The sequence below is a fragment of the Homo sapiens genome, chromosome 20 (genome assembly GCF_000001405.40).
Source record: "Homo sapiens chromosome 20, GRCh38.p14 Primary Assembly".
NCBI classification, from domain to species: domain Eukaryota; kingdom Metazoa; phylum Chordata; class Mammalia; order Primates; family Hominidae; genus Homo; species Homo sapiens.
In genome coordinates, this window is record NC_000020.11 from 30,352,714 (window position 1) to 30,372,017 (window position 19,304).

At 35.9% G+C, this 19,304-nt stretch overlaps 1 long non-coding RNA gene across 4 annotated transcripts in view; it reads right to left on the reverse strand.

Annotated features, from left to right (window-relative positions):
- The window catches only part of FAM242A (family with sequence similarity 242 member A), a 38,665-nt gene extending 29,403 nt beyond the window's left edge, over nt 1–9,262 (reverse strand). For 2 of the 4 annotated variants that reach the window (NR_187586.1, NR_187588.1), the window contains exons 1-2: nt 8,944–9,262; nt 4,397–4,474 (exon numbers count right to left, since the gene is read on the reverse strand). This is a non-coding gene — a long non-coding RNA (family with sequence similarity 242 member A). Of the gene's footprint in view, nt 1–4,396; nt 4,529–8,943 lie in introns of all 4 variants that reach the window. The other 2 variants (NR_187589.1, NR_187587.1) reach the window with 2 other exon arrangements.
- Between the last annotated feature and the right edge of the window lie 10,042 nt (nt 9,263–19,304).

The following is a 19,304-nucleotide window of genomic DNA, read 5'->3' on the forward strand; positions in this document are numbered from 1 at the left end:
TCAGGAACTGTGATACCTGTAGCTCTGTTCTTGCTCAAAATAGCTTCAGCCACTCAGGGATTTTTGTGATTCTATATGAATTTTAGGATCATTTTTTTCTATTTCTGTGAGAGTACCATTGGGATTTTGATATGGATTACATTAAATGTGTAGATTGCTTTGAGTAATATGGACACTTTAATAATACAGTACTAACTCTTTCAATCCATGGGTTGTCTTTCAATTTACTTTGGTTTAAATTTCTGTCATCAATCTTTTATAATTTGTACTGTTTAAGTCTTTCACTTCTTTGGTCAGTTAGTTCCAAAGTAGTTTATTTGACACTGTTTTTTAAATTTCCCTTTCAGACAATTCATTGTTAGTGTTTAGAAATAGCAATGATTTTTGTATGTCAATTGTGTATCCTACAACTTTAGTATATTTATTATATAGTCAGTCCTTCATATCAATGGGTTCTGCAACCATTAACTCAATCAACCATGAACCTAACTTGTACATATTTTCCATCTGTGGTGTTTTGAATCCACAGATGTGGACCCATGGATACATAGGGTCAACTGTACACAATTTTATATGAGGGAGTTGATCATCACAGATTTTGTTATCTGAGGGGGTCCTGAAACAAATCCCCAGCAGATATGAAAGACTGACTGTATTATTTCTAACCATTTTCTGTGGAGTCTTTAGAGTTTTAATGTATAATAATCCTGTCTTCTGTTAACAGAGGTAACTATATCCTTCCTTTCAATTTTGATGCCTTTTTTTTCTCTTGCCTGATTGCTCTGGCTAGGACTTCCAGTACTATGTTGAATAGGAGTGATGAGAGTAGACATCCTTGTCTTGTTCCAGATAGTAAAGAAAAAGCTTTCAGTTTTTCCCCATTGATTATAATATTAGATATAGGTTTTTCATATACAGCCTTTATAGTGTTGAGGTAAGTTTCTTGTATACTTATTTTGTTGAGAGTTTTATCATGAAAGTATATTGAATTTTGTCAAATGTGTTTTCTGCATCTATTGGAATGTTATTTTTATCTTTTGTTCTGTTAATGTGGTATATCACATTATTAATTTTTACACATTGAAACATCCTTGTATCCCATACATAAATTCCAATTGGTCATGGTGTATGACCTTTTCAATGTGCTTTTGAATTCAGTTTGCTAGTTTGTATTTTATTGAGAATTTTTGCATCTATATTCATTAAGGATACTGGTCTGTAATTATTTTTTATTGTGTTGTCTTCGTCTAGCTTTTAAGTCATGGTAACATCGGCCTCATGAAATGAGTTTGAGAGTATTCTCTCTTCTATTTTTTCTGAAGAGTTTAAGAAGTTTTGGTGTTAGTTCTTTTTGAATGTTTGGTAGAAGTTGCCCATGAAAGCGTCTGCACCTGGGCTTTTCTTTGTTGGGAAATTTTTGATTACTGATTAAATCTCTTTGCTTGCTTTTGGTCTGTTCTATTTCTTTTTTGTTCCACCTTGGTAGATTGCATCTTTCTAAGAATTTATCCATTTCTTCTAGGTTATCCAATTTATTGTCATATAATTGCTTAATTGTCCTTTATAATCATTTGTATTCCTGCACATTTGTTATGATGTCTCCATTTTCATTTCTGATTATATTTACTTGAGTTTCTCTTTTTTTCTTAGTGTAGCTAAGGGTTTGTTATTTTTGTTTGTATTTCCAAAAATTCAACTCTAGTTTTCTTGATTTTTCTATTGTTTTTTATTTTATAGTTATTTTATTTATATTCTAATCTTTATTATTTACTTCATTATGCTAACTTTGGGTTTAGTTAGTTTTTCTTTTTCTAATTGTTTATTTGCAAAGTTAGGTTGTTCGAGTGAGATCTTTCTTATTTTTTAATGTAGGTATTTATCACTGTAACATTTCCCTCTTAGCACTTCTTTTGCTGCATCCTGTAAGTTTTGTTGAGTTGTATGTTCATTTTTGTTTGTCTCAAGATATTTTTAAAATTCCCTTTTGATTTCTTCTTTTACCCAATGGTTGTTCAAGAGTGTGTTGTTTAGTTTCTGCATTTTTGTAAATGTTTCTGTTTTCTTTGTTATTGAATTCTAATTTTATTCCATTGTGGTCTGAGAAGATACTTGGCATTATATCAAACTTCTTAAATTTGTAGGATGCCTTGTGACCTAAGATTTGATCTATCTCAGAGAATATTCTGTGTTCACTTGAGAAGAATATATATTCTGCTGCTGTTGGATGGAAAGTTCTGTATATGTCAGTGTTTAATCTACTGTGTTGTTCAAGTCAGCTGTTTCCTCTTTTTTTTTATTCCTGCCTAGATGTTCTATCCATTATTGAATTTGGGGTACTGTAGTTGCCTACTATTATTTTAGTGTTACTGATTTCTCCCCTTATCTTTGTTGATATTAACTTTGTATATTTAGGTGTTCTAATGTTGGGTGGATATATATTTACAATCTTCCCATTGAAGTGAACTTTTATCATTATATAATGACCTTCTTAGTCTCTAGTGGCAGTTTTTGATTTCAAGTCTATTTTTTCTGATCTAAATATAGATACCCTTGCTCTTTTTTGGTTACCATTTGCATAGAGTATCTTTTCCCATCCCTTCACTTTGAGCCTCTATATATCTTTATATCTAAATTGACTCCCTTATAAATATGTACTGATGAGTATCTTTTATGCATTGTGCCACTCTATGTCTTTTAATTAGATAGTTTAATCCTTTCACATTTAAAGTCATTGTTGATAGGTAAGGAGTAACTTGCATTTTGTTAATTGTTTTTCATATGTTTTGCAGTTCTTTTTTTTTTTTTCCTCTCTTGCTGTCTTCTTAGTTTGGTTATTTCTTGTAGTGGTTTGGTTTCATTTATTTTTCTTCACATTTTGTGTATCTCCTATAAGTTTTTAATTTGTGGTTGCAAATTTACATCTTCTATAAAAAGCTGTCTTAATGTTATCAGCTTTTTTGGAATCATTTTCTTTCTCTTCCTTCTTCAGATATATTTGCAAATACTCTGTTGTTCAAGACACGAGTAAATAGGGCTCTGGCTAGAAATTTATCAATACAAAAAAAAAGATCCTCTGAGTCTTTTGATAAGTTGGAAAATAATGATAGACTGTGGTAGAATGTCATGTATTTCAAGTTCTGTCATCTATGTTACTCTGCAATATATTTTCTGTGTGTATTAGTCAATGTTATATATTTATAAGGTAAATCCATAAAGCATACATTCTAGAATGCCCTAACTTAGGTCCTTAAGAGATATGCTCCTTATAGCCTTCTTGGCACTCCTGAAGTGTTAAATATTTCCATTGAAGAAGGTTGCATATGGTTTCTGAGATGAAGTCTAGACAGGTTAGGATTATTTTTTGCTCCTTTTGCCTACACAGCACCCACTGTCCCCTCCCTTTGTTATTAGCCATTATCTGATACCCTAGATGAAGCCACCTTCTGTCCTTCAGTTTTCGCGTGGGGGCTGATTTCACCCCCAGTTTCAGGAATAAGCACAGGACAGCTACTAACAAGTATGTTGTTCACTCAAGGAAGAAACCCAGCTAAGGGAGAAAGGGGGGTTGAAATCCAGCCTGCATGTTCTTCTCCAAGCCACATGCACCGATACAAGGTTGCATCTAACTGGAGAAAGGGGAGCCATTTTCTAATACTTGCAAAGCACTGTGTGGACAGTGGAAACCCTGTATGAGCTCGTGACACAGGCCTGGCCAATGAATAGACTTCTAATCCTGGCACAGATGAAACTAGAGATGGACATGAAATCCAAGCCTCACACCCAAAGTCAATCTCTAGTCTCTTATTGAAACTATTAGAAGTGTTTCTGTTTTTGCTTTATTCTGGGGCTATGGAACTAAGGAAATGTAAACTGGAGGAGTGATGATGGCCACATTGCAGCACAAAGGGAAAACTTGTCTGAGAATAAAATCAATGGGGAAGGAAAAAGCAAGGAAGAGGAGAGGAGCCAAGTCCTGAGTCCCTGCGTTCAGCCATTCTGAAGCTATACCCTGGATTTTTCCATTATACGAGTCCACAAATTAATATATATTTTTTGGCTTAGACCAGTTTGAGTTTGAATTCTATTATTTATAACCAAAGGAGTCCTACCATATTATCTTAGCCAGATTTTCATAAACACGGTATACGTTGATGAACAAACTTCCTAAATGTTTCAAGTTCACTCCAAAGAGTGAGGGGAAAAAAGAAAGAAGAGGAAGAAAATGGTTACTTATCATCCACAGTAGTCAAGGGAGCTGCAGAAGCATCAAGCAAAAGCAGCAGAAGTTAGCTTTGTACTCCCACAAACCCTGCTCTGAAGTACTCCACCTAGTGGCCCACAGAAGAAGCTGCATTTCTAAAATCTTTAAAAAGACAGAAAAGGAATCACCACTTACCCTGGGAACCCTAACAGGGGAGAAGGCCATGTAGGAATATGTCCCATTGGTTTGAGGTCGATAAGTCCATTTTCAAAGCTTTAGTAATTCCAGAAACAAGAACATATTTATTTTGCTTTGATCACACAATGCCTAGTTATATTAAAAGTAAGGAGACATTCAATAAATACCTTTTATGGAAATAAAAACAGACAATTTAGGAGAAAAATAAGTATCAATGCATTATTTTCAAAGGTAAAGAAAAAAGAAATTATTCTGAACACACAAAACTATATTATCAAATATCATGGTAAATTATCATTATATACTAGGTCACTTAATAAATTTCCAGAGATGATTGGAAAGAGTTTCCACAATAGATTTTGTTTCACCCCAGGAAGAAGTTTCACAAAAAGTTAGTTACTTATCTCCGTTGTTACTAGTACCAAACTAATCCTATCATTCTGAGTCAAATTACAAATAACGTCCACACTTTTCTCCAATGAGATCACAGGAGATGCCTCAGTGGAGTGTGTTTTAATGTAAGGGCATAATTGGTTTATATTTTTCACTAAAAATAAATTCTAGACAACTTAAGCAAAACAGGAATTCAATGAAAGGATATTGAATAGTTCACAAAATCATTGAAGATGCTGAAGAAGCAAGGTAAGAACTGAGGGAAACTCAGCACAGCCAAGTTCATTCGACGGAAGGAGATCTTGGGATGCCACCACTAGGATGTTGTCATTTGACACTTGTCACCCTGTAGCTGGGCTCTGCTGAACCTAGGCACTTGCTGCCACATTCCTGGACGTGCATCTCTGCTCAATTTCTCAGAATCATCTCTGATTCTTTCAGGTCTTTTGCATCATTTCATCGGGTTCCAAGTTCTAATAAAGAGACATCAGTTGGCTGGGCCTAGATATGTGCCCACACGTGGGTGGCCAAGAAACTGGAAAAAGGATCATGCACTCCCTTTCAGCTTTTGTAATGGAAGGTGGGGCCTGTCCTCATATTTTGCTTGGGGTTCAAAAAACTAGGAAGGGGGTTTTGTTGAAATGAAACCCAAAACTATAGCTATCCATTTACAGCACCTTATTTGTACAGGAAGAAACCATGAGACAAAATGTATAAAAGTGCATGGGAGGTCTAAACATATGAGGGGGTTTCTGAGGACAGAAAGATCATACTTGATTGGTGCTGTGGTTTCACTGTGCCTCCTCCGAGATTCAGCGTTGATAATTTGATAGTGTTGAGGTGGTGCCTACAGGAAGTGATGAGGCCATCAGGACTCCTACCTCAGGAATGGGTTTAGGAGCCCTCATGAAAGGGCTCCATGGAGGGAGTTCATCCCTCTTGCTCTCCTGCCTTCCACCATGTGAGGACACAGTGTTCCTTGTCTCTGGAAGATGCAGCATCAAGACACCATCTTGAACGGAGAGAACAGCCCTTACCAGACATCAGACCTGCCAACGCCTTGATCTTGGACTTCCTAGTCTCCAGAACTATGACAGATAAACGTCCGCTTTTCATAAATTGCCTAGTCTGTGTTATTTTGTTGTAAGAGCATAAATTGACTAAGACAATTGGTGATTAGAAAAAGTTTTTTGAAGTGGCATTTGAGAAGGGCTTGATAGATAAGATCTCTACAAATAGAAATAGAGAGATGGTTTCAAATCACCCAGGTGAAAGGAATAACATAGCCATGTTCAGTCTGAATGCAAAATGGAGATGGTAAAAAGTACATAGGATTCCACCACCAGTGGCAGGACAGAATTGTAATGTGGCAGCAATCTGTAAATATAATATTTATCACTCATTCACATTTATTTAGAGTCTAATGTGTTCTAGGCTCAGAAATTAAGCAAAGAAAACCTAGATATGCATAAGTCCAAGACTTTGCCTTTGTGACAGTCAAAATAATGACCCCATAAAGATGTTCTTGTCCGTGGAATCTGTGACCATATTACTTTACATGGGGCAAAAGGGACTTTGGAGATGTGATTAACCCTTGAGTTAGGGGGATTATCCTTGATTATCTTGGGGGCCAATCTAATTACCTGCGTCTATAAAATCAGAGAATCTTTCCTAGCTACAGTCAGAATGTGATATGACTACAGAACCATGGTCACAGACATCCCACATTACTGGCTTTGAAGATGGAGTGATGGTCCCATGATCCAAAGAATAGGGACAGCATCTAAAAGTTTGAAAAGGAAATGGATTCTCTCTAGAGCCTCCAGAAAGCAATACAGCCCTGACAACACCTTGACTTAAGCCCAGTAAGACCACAGTCAGAGGTTTGCCCTACAGAACTATAGGGTCATAAGACTTTGATTTAAGCCACAAAGTTGTGGTAAATTGTTATGGCAGAAATAGATAATTAATTTTAAGAACTTTATTATTTGGAAGATAGGCAGACCGGAAAATCCAAATTATAATATAATTCGATTAAAACCTATGGAGATTTGGGCTAGGTGTTTTAGAAAAGAATTGAGTATTAACAAGACTAACAGAAGAAATGTTCTAAAATAGGTACACACTAAGTACATCACATTTTTCTAATGATCACGTTGATAGAGCAACTTAGAATCCATGGTTTTAACAAACCAACAGGCTTATATACATATATATGAAAATATTATATATATATATATATAAAATATATGATATATGGAATAGCCCCATGGGCACGGGCAGCCCTGGGTCAAAGGGCGACACTGTACTAGCAGCCCACACCCCAACTCACCCGCCTACCCTGAGCTGACTTGTCTGCTAAATGCTAAATAAACCTGTCAACCTGTCTGGTTTAACTTAGAAGGGCCTGGATGCAACAAGCCTGAGGGCTGTGACTGGGGGAAAAGAGAGTACAGATGGAGCTCCTCCTCCTTCTGTCACTGCCCACCAACTGAAAACCACCAAATGAAGTTTGCTTAGATTCTCAGCCCACACCTTGTTCCCAACAAAACTCATACAATGCTTTGGCCCCCACTACAATCTCTGGAACAAAATATTCTACGGATCTGCTGTTTGAGCTGCAACTTATCTTACTAAATTCCAAGAAGCTTATGTAAAAGAAAACCTCCAGATAATACAGGATTTTCAAGGTGATCATCATTGCTACTTTTAACTAGAAATTATCCAGTAAAAGTATTGTGAATTGCTTTGTGACTATGGTGATTTATTTAGTCTTTCTGATCCTTGGTTTGATTATCTCAAATATATGAGTATCACCAATTTTATAAAGTTGCTCTAAAAATTAAATGAAAGAAAAATAATCCTCCTTCTCCATATATTGAACACTTACAAAATTATAGGCATTGTGTCCAGGTTTTTACATACTTACCTGATAGAAGTCTCCTAACAGCCCTCTCTTTTAAATTACAAGCATTTTGCCATGATTTTTACATGTACTTTATGGAAGCCTCGTAACAATCACATCTTTTATAGATCAGCAAACTGAGGCTCAGACGAGTTAAAAACACATTCACCATCAAATCATAACAAGGGATGCAACTGGGATTCAAATCTGGTTCTCTCTGATGCCAAAAATTGTGCAATTTAACGGGAACCAAGTTACACCCAGAACATGGAGGGATCAAAACATGTGGATTCCCTTTTCTGCCCCCTCATGTGGGAATTTCAATAGCTTTCACTGCCTCAGAGCAATCCTAAACTCCCTCCCAGGTTGCTTGCAATGGCCCGCTTATTCGTGGGGATGATTAGGAATCTGCATTTTTGGACCACAAGCATCTATAAAGAGTTGTGTTGATCAAGAAATAAAATTTTCTAGGCCATAGGTTACTGTGAATTGTCTACCTTCTCTGCAAAAAATAAAGGGGCTATTCCATGTAAAAAAATCACAGGATCCACTGAATCTGTGCAGAGAGACTTAGAACTATACTGCAGGAGCATCTTACTGACAGCTGCGCCTGAAGACCAGCCGAAACACACAAAGCAAGAGCACCTCCAATGACCAGGTGTGGTGGCTCTTGCCTGTCATCCCAGCAGTGTGGGAGGCCAAGGTTGGTGAATCACTTGAGGCCAGGGGTTTAAGACCAGCTTGGGCAACACAGTGAGACCTTGTCCCTACAAAAAAAAAATCATTTTTTATTATTAGAATCAAGAAGAGTACCTCTAACCCCTTGCCGTTGCTTTAGGGTAGAGAGCTCTGGTCTAGAACTCAAGATGTGAAACTGTGAGTCCCAGTGTAGCTACTTAAGTTTAAATACAAGAGCTGTCAGACACTTCTTCTACAGCAACGAAATCTGTAGCATCCATTTTGTACTTTAAAAACTTAGTTTTTGGCAAGCCTCTAGGAAGAAGAAGAGGGCCCAGAACTGGGCATATGGGTAGGGAGGGGAAAAGAAACCGGATGGATGAAACAGGGAAAGACGAAGTGATGAAGACGCCAGGCAGAGCCAGTCCTCATGCTTGGGGCCTGGGCCTAGGAAAGGAAATAGGTGAAGAAGGGAGGAGCCCCAGGCTGTGGATGTCTCTGGGGGAAACTTGGTTCAGCAACAGCCAGAGGAGCTCCTGAAGCCAAGAGGTATCTGTCGCCTCCCTACCTTTGGGCGTCTTCTGGTCACCAATGTGCTGCAGGTCATGGCTCCGGAATAAAATTGAGCTCAAGTTGTGAGAGCTCCAACGCCGTGGAGCCTGGCGCTACTCCCACCTCCACTTCGTGGATCTCAGAGCTGCAGGATGGCTCTGCCCACCGCACCCTAAGCTGGCCTCGCTTGGGGCTGGCATTGGGGGACAGCATGTTCTGGGCATCTCTGCTCCTTTCTGCTGGTGCCTGTGCCTTTGCTGGCCACCCACTCATAGATATCAGAGCCACAGGACGGCCCCGCAGAAACCCTGCGCTGGCCCTGCCGGGGGCTGGCTTTGGCACATGCGACCGGTCATCATGGTCCCCATGGGGCACCTCTGCTCTTCTCGAGGCAGCTTGGGCCTTCTCTTGCCCCCACGTCTGCAGAGCTGAGCACCTGCCGCCTCTCCCCAGGAAAGGCAACCAAATGCCACCAACTTAAGCCACCCACTGAAGGCCACCAACTAAAGGCCGGTTGCCCTGCCAACGAGATCGTGTCCTGCTTAGGAAGAACCAATCAGGCCTTGAGTTCCCTCCACGCGCTGCCCTTCCATTTGTCACGTGGGAGTCCAGGCACTGGCTCACAAAGCCGTGCCCCCCAGAGACCCCGCCCCACCTTTCATTTATTGGTAGCTGGTAGCAACTTTCAGGTTTCCTCACTGTGAATTATGAATATGAATTATGATGAAATTACTGTATCCTAATGTACCTCATGCACTATCTGACAGCCATAGTCCCCTCTTCCCCCATGGCCTCTGAGTTTTTTGGAAACTAGAAAGAAGATACATTTCTGCAGGTGCTTTCAGAAAAAAACATTGCCACGATCTAAGTTTACTCTGTGATGTCAAGTCATATTTCATATGTCATACATATTCATATTTATATTCATAATTCAAAATGTACATATTCAATAAAATTAACAGGACTAAAAAGGAAATTTTCTAAAATTTATACACTAAGTATATTATATTTTTCTAATGATCACTTTGATAGAGCAAACTTAGAATCTATGGTTTCAACAAATGAAGAGGCTTATGCAAGAGAAAACCACCACCTAACACAAGATTTTCAATGTGATCATCATTGCTACTTTTCACTAGCAATTATCCAGTTAATATATTGTGAACTGCTTTGTGACTATGGTGATTTATTTAAACCTACTGATCCTTTGATTATCTCAAAAATATGAATAATACCAATTTTATAAACTTGTTCTAAAAATTAAATGAGAGAAAAATAATCCTCCTTCTCTATATATTGAAAACCTACAAAATTAGTAACATTGTGTCCAGATTTTTACACACTTACCTTATTGAAGCCTCATCACAACCCCGTCTTTTAAATTACAGGGATTATTCCCAGATTTTTAAACACTTACCTTATGCAAGTCTCATAACAATCCCATCTTTTATAGATGAGCAAACTGAGGCGCAGACGAGTTATAAACGCATTCACCATCAAATCACAATGAGTGATGGAACTGGGATTCAAATCCAGTTCTCTCTGACACCAAAGTGGTGCAATGTAATGAAGACCAACTTATATCCAGCACATGGAGGGATCAAAACATGTGGATTCCCTTTCTCTACTCTCTTACATGTGAATCTCAATGGGTTTCACTGCCTCAGAACAGTCCTAAATTCCCTCCCAGGTTGCCTTGCAGAGGATCCCTTCTTTTGGGGGACGATTAGGAATCCGCATTTTTAGACCACAGGCATCTATAAAGAGTTGTGTTGATCAAGAAATAAAATTGTCTAGGCCATGAGTTCCTGTGAATTGTCTAGCTTCTCTGAAAAAAATAAATGGGCTATTCTCTTTATTTTTTGTTATTCCACTATTGACAATAGCCTAGAATCAACCTAAATGTCCAAAAAGACTTGGTTTAATCCTGAGGATTACTAATGTTTTCACTGTGGTCATTGTGGTAGATTATATTACCATTCTCCCATTATCTGGTCTTCCTACTGCAGTGGCCCTATTTCCTAGAAGATTATACATTTCTGTCCTATTGAAGGAAGGGTCAGATTAAGACATGTGACCTGTTTGGCCAGTGAAATGCAGGTAGAAGTGGCATGTGTAACTTGTAAGCAGAAAATTTCCTTTTTCAAGGATCTGGTAGCCATCCCTTTCAAATGTAATCCTCCAGAAGGATAATACCTTATTTCCCAGTCTCCAGGAGAGAGTAAGAGCCTAATCTTGCTCCAAGTTGTAAAAATTACCTTATATCATAAAGATAAAAGAAAGTTTATTTTTCCTTTGAGAAAAGACAGTTAGCAAAGACAGGTGGCCTATGATCGCCCTCTTACCCTCACTTTCAAAAACTCCACGGCCCTTTGTATCAGGGGAGCTGAGTTCAGACTAGGTCTGGCCTCTCTCCCGTATTGCAATAGCTTGAATAATATCTTCCTTACTTATTTAACTTTTTCCAGTACATTTTTTTCTTTGACTCTTTCCTCCGTCTCTAAAACTTACATTGAAATTTTAGTAGGATTCAAGGCAGCCAATATCGACCCTTGAATATACAAAAGAACGCTTTAAGATTAAAAAACCCATGTTATCTTCCATAAGTTATTTCTTTGGACTATTGCCTTATTAAAAGTTTCTAGTTCTTATTTTTGCATTGAAAAGGAGAATGATGATTTTTAAATAAGTTCCTACTCACTTTTAATTTCTATTATCACAGTTTTATTGCTTTTCATGACAATACATTCTTCGCATGCCTCATAGTAACCAAAAGGCAAACATTTTTATTAGATACACTAAAAATAAAAGAACAAGAAACAAAAACACACAGAGAAAATCACTTAACTACAAAGGAAGACAACAAAGGGACAAAAAGGTACAAAAATTCTAAAAGACACCAAGAAAACAGTATATGGCAGTACAGGTCCTTATCTATCAATAATTACCTTGAATGTACATAGATTAAATTATCCAGTAAGAAGACAGATAATGGGTAAATGGATTAAAAACAAGACCTAACTATATTCTTTCTACAAGAGACTCCCATCACCTGTAAATACACACATAAATTGAAAGTGATCAGATGGAAAAATATATTTTATGACAATGGAAATCAAAAGAATGCAGAAGTAGTTATATTTATATCAAATAAAATAGACTTCAAGTAAAAAAACTGTAAAGACAGACAAACAAGGCCATTATGTAATAATAAAGGGGTCAGTAGAACAAGAGAATACAATAATTGTAAATATATAATGCACTCAACATTGGAGAACCTAAATATATAAAGCAAACATTAATAGATCTAAAAGGAGAGACAAAAAACTGTACAATAATAGTAAGAAACCTCGATATCCCATTTTCAGCAATGAACAGATCATTGAGAGAGAATCTCAACAAAGAAACATTTAAACTGCACTCTAGATCAAAAGAACTTAACAGTTATTTACATAACATTTCATCCAACAATTGCATAATTCAGTGTCTTTTCACCTGCATATGGAATATTGTCCATGATAGATATGTTAGAGCACAAAACAAGTCTTAACTAATCAAAAAATCAAACCATATCATGTGTTTTTTTTGACCATATGGAATAAAGCTAGACATAAACAACAGGAGGAACTTCAGAAATTGTGCAAATACATACAAATTAAGCAACATATCCCTAAACAACCAATGGGTCAATGAAAAAAAATTTAATTTTAAAACGTCTTAAGACAAATAAAAATGAAATCAGAACATATGAAAACTTATGAAATACAGCAAAACAGTTCTTAGAGGGAAGTTTATAGCAATACATTTTGACATCAATAAAGAAGAAAGATAATGAATAAAACATCTAACAATGTATTTCAAGGAACTATAAAATCAAGAACAAACTAAGACCCAAATTAGCAAAAGAATATAAAGATGAGAGCACAAATATACAAAATAAAGACAAAAAATACAAACGACTAATTAAATGAAGGAATCTTTTTTGAAAACGTAAAATTGACAAATGTTTTGTCAGACTAAGAAAAAAAGAGAAAATTCACATAAAATCAGAGATGAAAAAGGATATACTATGATAGACTCTAGAGAAATATAAGGAATAGTGAGTAAGTACTACAAACAATTATACGCCAATAAATTGAAAAGCTTAGAAGAAATACGTATGCTCTGGACACATATAACCCATCAAAATTGAAGAAAGAAGTAGAAAATGTGAACACACCAATGACAAATAATGAGATGGAAGGAGCGATTTAGGCTCTCATTCAAGGAAAATCCAAAAGACTTCACACAGTAGCTCACATCTGTAATCTCACAGTTTAGGAGCCCAAGGCAGGAGAATCACTAGAGGCCAGGAGTTCAAGATTAGCCTGGGCAACACAACGAGACTCCGTCTCTAAAAATACAAATAAAAATTCCCCAGGTATAGTGGTGTGTACTTGTACTCAGGAGACTGAGGCAGGAGGATCACTTAAGACCAGGAGTTTGAGGCTGCAGTCAGCTATGACTGCACCACTGTATGCCAGCCTCAGTGATAGAGTGAGACTCTGTCTCTAAAAAAATAGAGGAAGAAAGAAAAGTTCACGACTTGGTGGTTTTTGCTGACAAATTCTACAAAACATTTAAAAAATTTATACAAATTATTTACAAACTATTTCAAAAAAATGAAAAGGAGGGAACTCTTCCAAAGTCATTCTATGAAGACAGCATTTCCTGATTCCAAAATGAGACAAGAACAGCAAATAAAAGAAAACTCCAGGCCAATATCATTGATAAACATAGATGGAAACATTCAAAACCAGCAGATCTAGCAATGATAATTCAAAAGCACATTAAAAAGATTATTCACCATAATCAAGTGGTATTTACCCGGGGAGGTAAGGATAGTCTAATACATGTAAATCAATAAAATGTGATACATCACATTAAACAAAGAAGGATAAAAAACATATAATCATTTCAATAGATGCAGAAAAAGCATTTGACAAAATTAGACATCCTTTTATGATCAAACCTTTTAACAAATTAGTTATAAAAGAACATAATAAAATAAAGACCATATGTGATAACCCACAGGCAACATTATACTGAATGGTGAAAACTTGAAAGCTTTGCCTCTAGGATCTGGAACAAGACAAGGATGTTCACTTTAATCACTTTTTTCAACATAGTACTGGAAGTCCTAGTCATAACAATTAGGTAACAGAAAGAAATAAAAGGCATGCAAATGGAAAAAAAGTCAAATTGTCCCTCTTTGTAGATGACATGATCATATATGTAAAAAACCCTAAATACACCACTGAGAATCAGAAATAGTAAATGAATACAATAAGGTTTCAGGATACAAAAGCTACATAAAAAATCAGTAACATCTCTATACACCAATAGCAGACTATCTGAAAAAGGAATCAAGAAAATAATTCCACTTAAAATAGCTATTAAAAAAACAAAATACCTACCAGTAAATTAAGCCACAGAAAGATGAAAATAATTAAACATTGATAAAAGCAATTTAAAAAATTAAAATAAATAGAAAGATATCCCATGTTCATGGACTAGAAGAATTAATATTGTTGAAATTACCATACTACTCAAATCAATCTATAAATCCAATATAATCTCTATCAAATTTCCAATTTCATTCTTCACAGATATTAAAAAATATCTTAAAATCCATGTGAAACTACAAAACACCCCAAATAGCCAAATAAATCTTAAGCAAAAAGAGCAATGCTAGAGGTATTACACTATCTAATTTCAAAATATATTACAAAGCTACCCTAACTAAAACAGCATGGTATTGGCATAAAAACAGGCATGTAGACCAGTGGAACAAAAATAGAGAGCCCAGGCATAAATCCACATATTTACATGCAACTTATTTTTGACAAAGGTGCAAACATTCAATTGGGAAAGACAGTCTTTTCAACAAATGGTGCTGGGAAATGTGCATACCCACATACAAAAGAATGAAAGTAGACCCCTATCTCTCATCATATACAAAAATCAACTCAAAATAAATTAAATATTTAAATGTAAGACCCCAAACTATGAAACTAGTAGAAGAAAACATAAGTGAAATGTTATATGTCATTGATCTGGGCAACGACTTTTTAGAAAAGACATCAAAAGACAGGCACAACAAAAGCAAAAATAAACAAATGAGATTACACCAAATAAAAACTTCTGCACTGCATAGGAAACAATCATGACAGTGAAGAGACAACCTACAAAACAGGAGAAAATATCTGCAAACTATTCACTTCATAAGGGGTTAATATCCCAAATTTATAGAAAACTCAAACAACTCAATAGCAAAAATACAAATAATTGGATTAGAAAAGTCAAGACAGTTGAATAGACATTTCTCCAAATAAGACAAAAAAATCGCCAACAGGTATATGAAAAAATGCTCACCATCACTAATAATCAGAGAAATGGAAGTCAAATCCACAGTGAGATATCATCTCACCCTGCTTAGAATGCTTTTTATGAAAAAGTCAAAAAATAACAAATGCTGGCAAGGATGTGAAGAAAGGGCAATGTTCATACACTGTTGGTGGAAATGTAAATTAGAGCAATTGTTATGGAAAACAATAAAACTTCCAAAAACATTAAAAATAGACTTATCACATAATCCAGCAATCCCACTACTGGGTATATATTCAAAGAATATTAAATCAGTATGTCAAAGAGATTTCTGGACTCTCATGTTTATTACAGCACTATTCACAATAGCCTAGAATCAACCTAAGTGTCCATCAATGAATGAATGGAGAAAGAAAATGTGGCATATATGCTGTATTTGGTCATTCTTGCATTGCAAGAATAAAGAAATACCTGAGATTGGATAATTTATAAGAAAAGAGACGTAATTGGCTCCTGGTCCCATGGGCTGTACAGGGAGCATAATGCCAACATCTGCTTGACTAGTCAGGAAGCTTGGGAACTCGTTCACTATCATGAGGATAGCACCAAACCATGAGGGATCCACCTCCATGACCCAAACACCCCCTACCAGACCCCATCTCTAACAGTGGGGATTACAATATAACATGAGATATGGGTCAGGACAAATATCCAAACTATATCATATGCACATTTGGCCATAATAAACGGTAAAATCATGTCACTTGTGACAACACGAATGAGCATAGACGACATTGTGGTAAGTGAAATAAGCTAACCACGGTAAGACAAATATCACATGATCTCATTTATATGTGAAATCTAAAAACACTGATCTAATAGAGAGTAGAAGAGTGGTTACCAGACTGGGAAAGATAGGGAGGAGAGGTTTTAATAATGTGTCAAGTATCAAAATACCACATTGTACCCCATCAACATGTGAAATTATCATGTATCCACTTAATAAAAGAAAAGAAAAAAGAAAATGGAAGAGTCAAGATACTGAGGCACTGGAAGAGATAGAAGAGAAGGTGAATTGGCAGTAAGGAAGAGAGAGTCTGAAAGAGCAGGTCACAGAGTGGAACATTAAAGTTTATAACATTAGAAATCAATTTTTAAGTTATTGAAAAGTTAAGTTTATAGTCATGAAAGTGAGTAGCTCAATTGAAGCGAAAGTAAAAGTCAATGAAAGATTAAATTAGAAAATATATTGCTTGGCATTTAGTAGTTACTTCAGAAATACTAATAAATCTTAAGAAAATTAAGAACACCAAAGCATTCATAGTGGACCATTATCATAATACGAATTTATGTGGTAATATTTTATTCTTTCCAGTGAAGGGAGTAATTCAACAGCCTTGACTACAGGTTAGAAAATGATTTCTCCAGGTGTGACCCACTGACCACATTCATTGTATTTGAATTGCTTGAGCAATTTGTTTCAGGAGAAAATGGAAAGATTTTAAGATGGACCAACGAAATTACCACTGAGTGTCTTTAATGGAAACCTCAGCCTTGTCTAGAATAACCTGAGTTATCTGTTTCTATGGAGTCTCTGTGCCTTTTGTTTTCTTTGTTATTTGCAATTCTGTTAGTTGTAGATTACTGATAGTAATGCAAATATTCATGTTTATAGACAGGCAAATGATTGATTTTGGTGGAAGTATAATTAATTTTCCTTTTTCCACCTTCCATCAAGAAGTCAGTTTTGAACCTATCAAGCAAATTTATTTCAGTGTTCCTTAGTGCCTAGATATGTGTGGCTCTTTTAATTTTCCATAAAACTCAGTATAACATCTTACTGGCTCCCTCATTAAACAAATGAGTTAAACAAAAATCTTAGACAAGTGTTCATTTTATATTTGTAAGTCATAATTTAACCTATTTTAAGCAATTTTCCTTTATCATTCCTAAAAATACAGATTCCTATGCCCCATGCTAGACCTATTGAATCAAAATCTCAGGCCTAAGGCACAAGAATTTACATTGTTAGTAAGCTTTTCAAGTGATTTTTAGGCATACTAAATTGTATTAACCATTACCATTCTAATTCTTTAAACTTGAATTATTGTATTTATAATTCCATCTTCATCAAAGTAAACTTTTGGTTAGCAAAAACGGTAGAAACCCCCTTATTCAATCAGATTGGGACCAGTAATAAACAGATTAATCACAAATTTAAGTTAGATGGAGGAATCATAAGAAGTATTAGATGTAAGTCCTTAAAATTTAACTTTAATTTAAAAGACATGTGTAAATAAATTTGCCAGAATTTCGATGACAAGGTCAAAGCCTTGCACGGATTCAGAGTGGAGTTTCTTGTGGAAACTATGCCAATGATATGTTGTCATTGATTTCTTGTTCACTTTCTGTGAAGACAACTGGGGTAAGGCAATCTGAAATCCTAGATTACACAATTTTTCCCATTTGTTTCTAGTTGTCTTGCCAACAGTTAAGCTGACAGCAACTGTTTGAGTTTCTCATTTTTCCAACACATTTAGTTTATTTCTCAGAGAAACAATACTACTCTTGTTATACTCATTTTCTCAGTTTACGTAATATTTATTTATTTATTTATTTATTTATTTATTTATTTATTTATTTATTTTGAGACGGAGTCTCGCTCTGTCACCCAGGCTGGAGTGCAGTAGTGCGATCTTTGCTCACTGCAAGCTCCGCCTCCCGGGTTCATGCCATTCTCCTGCCTCAACCTCCCCAGAAGCTGGGCGTACAGGCACCCGCCACCACGCACAGCTAATTTTTTTGTATTTTCAGTAGAGACGGGGTTTCACCGAGTTAGCCAGGATGGCTCGATCTCCTGACCTAGTGATCCGCCCGTCTCAGCCTCTCAACATCATATTTAATTAAATTGCATAACTACAAGAACAAGAACAAATGGCGTAAACATATTTAGGAATGAACACAGCTTCCTCTTAGAAAATATACAATTTCTGTGATGGAAGGAGAAATGTACAGGCATTAAAAGCAGCTCAAAGGCTTTCAGTTTGCAGTGGACATCAGTCAATAAGTTGTACACGGGTACAAGAAAGTGCTGATTGTAAATCAGTTAAGTGGAGGTCAGTTAAGGCAGCATCCACTGTATCTTAATTTGTAAAGTTAATGTTCTAAAACTGGGTTCACTTTTGCTATAAAGGACCAGAAAATGTGGTCCTAAATGAAAAAAAAAAGGACCTAAAATGAAAAATATTTTAGGCTTTGCAAACCATACGGTCTCTATAGCAACCATTCAACTCTACCATTGTAGCAGGAAAGCACCATAGATCCATGGATGTGCTCCAATAAAACTTTATTAAAACAGGCAGCTGGTCTGAGGGCCATGTATATATCTTGCTGTTTTCATGCAATTTTCTAAGTTAGTAGTTCCCTGCCTTTTTAACAATCAAGGATTACTTTTAATCCTCTCCTCTGATTTTATGTTTCAAAAGCCTTAAGAAAAACCCTAAAAATATATTTATTTTGTAATTTTGGGGGGGTTCTTATTTTACTAATAAGTAATCAATGATATATAAAGGCTACCCATTATGTCAGTATGAAATAATCAACATTATTAACTCTAATGACTTAGTTCTGGATAGAAATAAGAAGTATTCAACTATATGTATATAACTTAAAACCTGTATAGTTTTTTCTGGTGTAAATATATAACTTTTCGAGATTCTTCAAGTATTAAATACAACTTTTGGGAATCCTCACACCTGGCTCCCTATGATGACATTTAAGAATTCCTTAGGATTCTGGGAATCTTAGAATGAAAGTCACTGCTCTGTAGGAATGAATGAATGAATGAATAAGAAAGGGAAGGAAGAAGAAAGAGCATGTCTACTAAATGTAAATTAATCATCAAGGAACGTTTATTTTATTAATAAATTTGTCAACTTTAGGTTGCCAAATCTAACAAGAGACCAACATGGCATTCATGGTGATCACACCTCTAGTCAAATTTTATTTTAG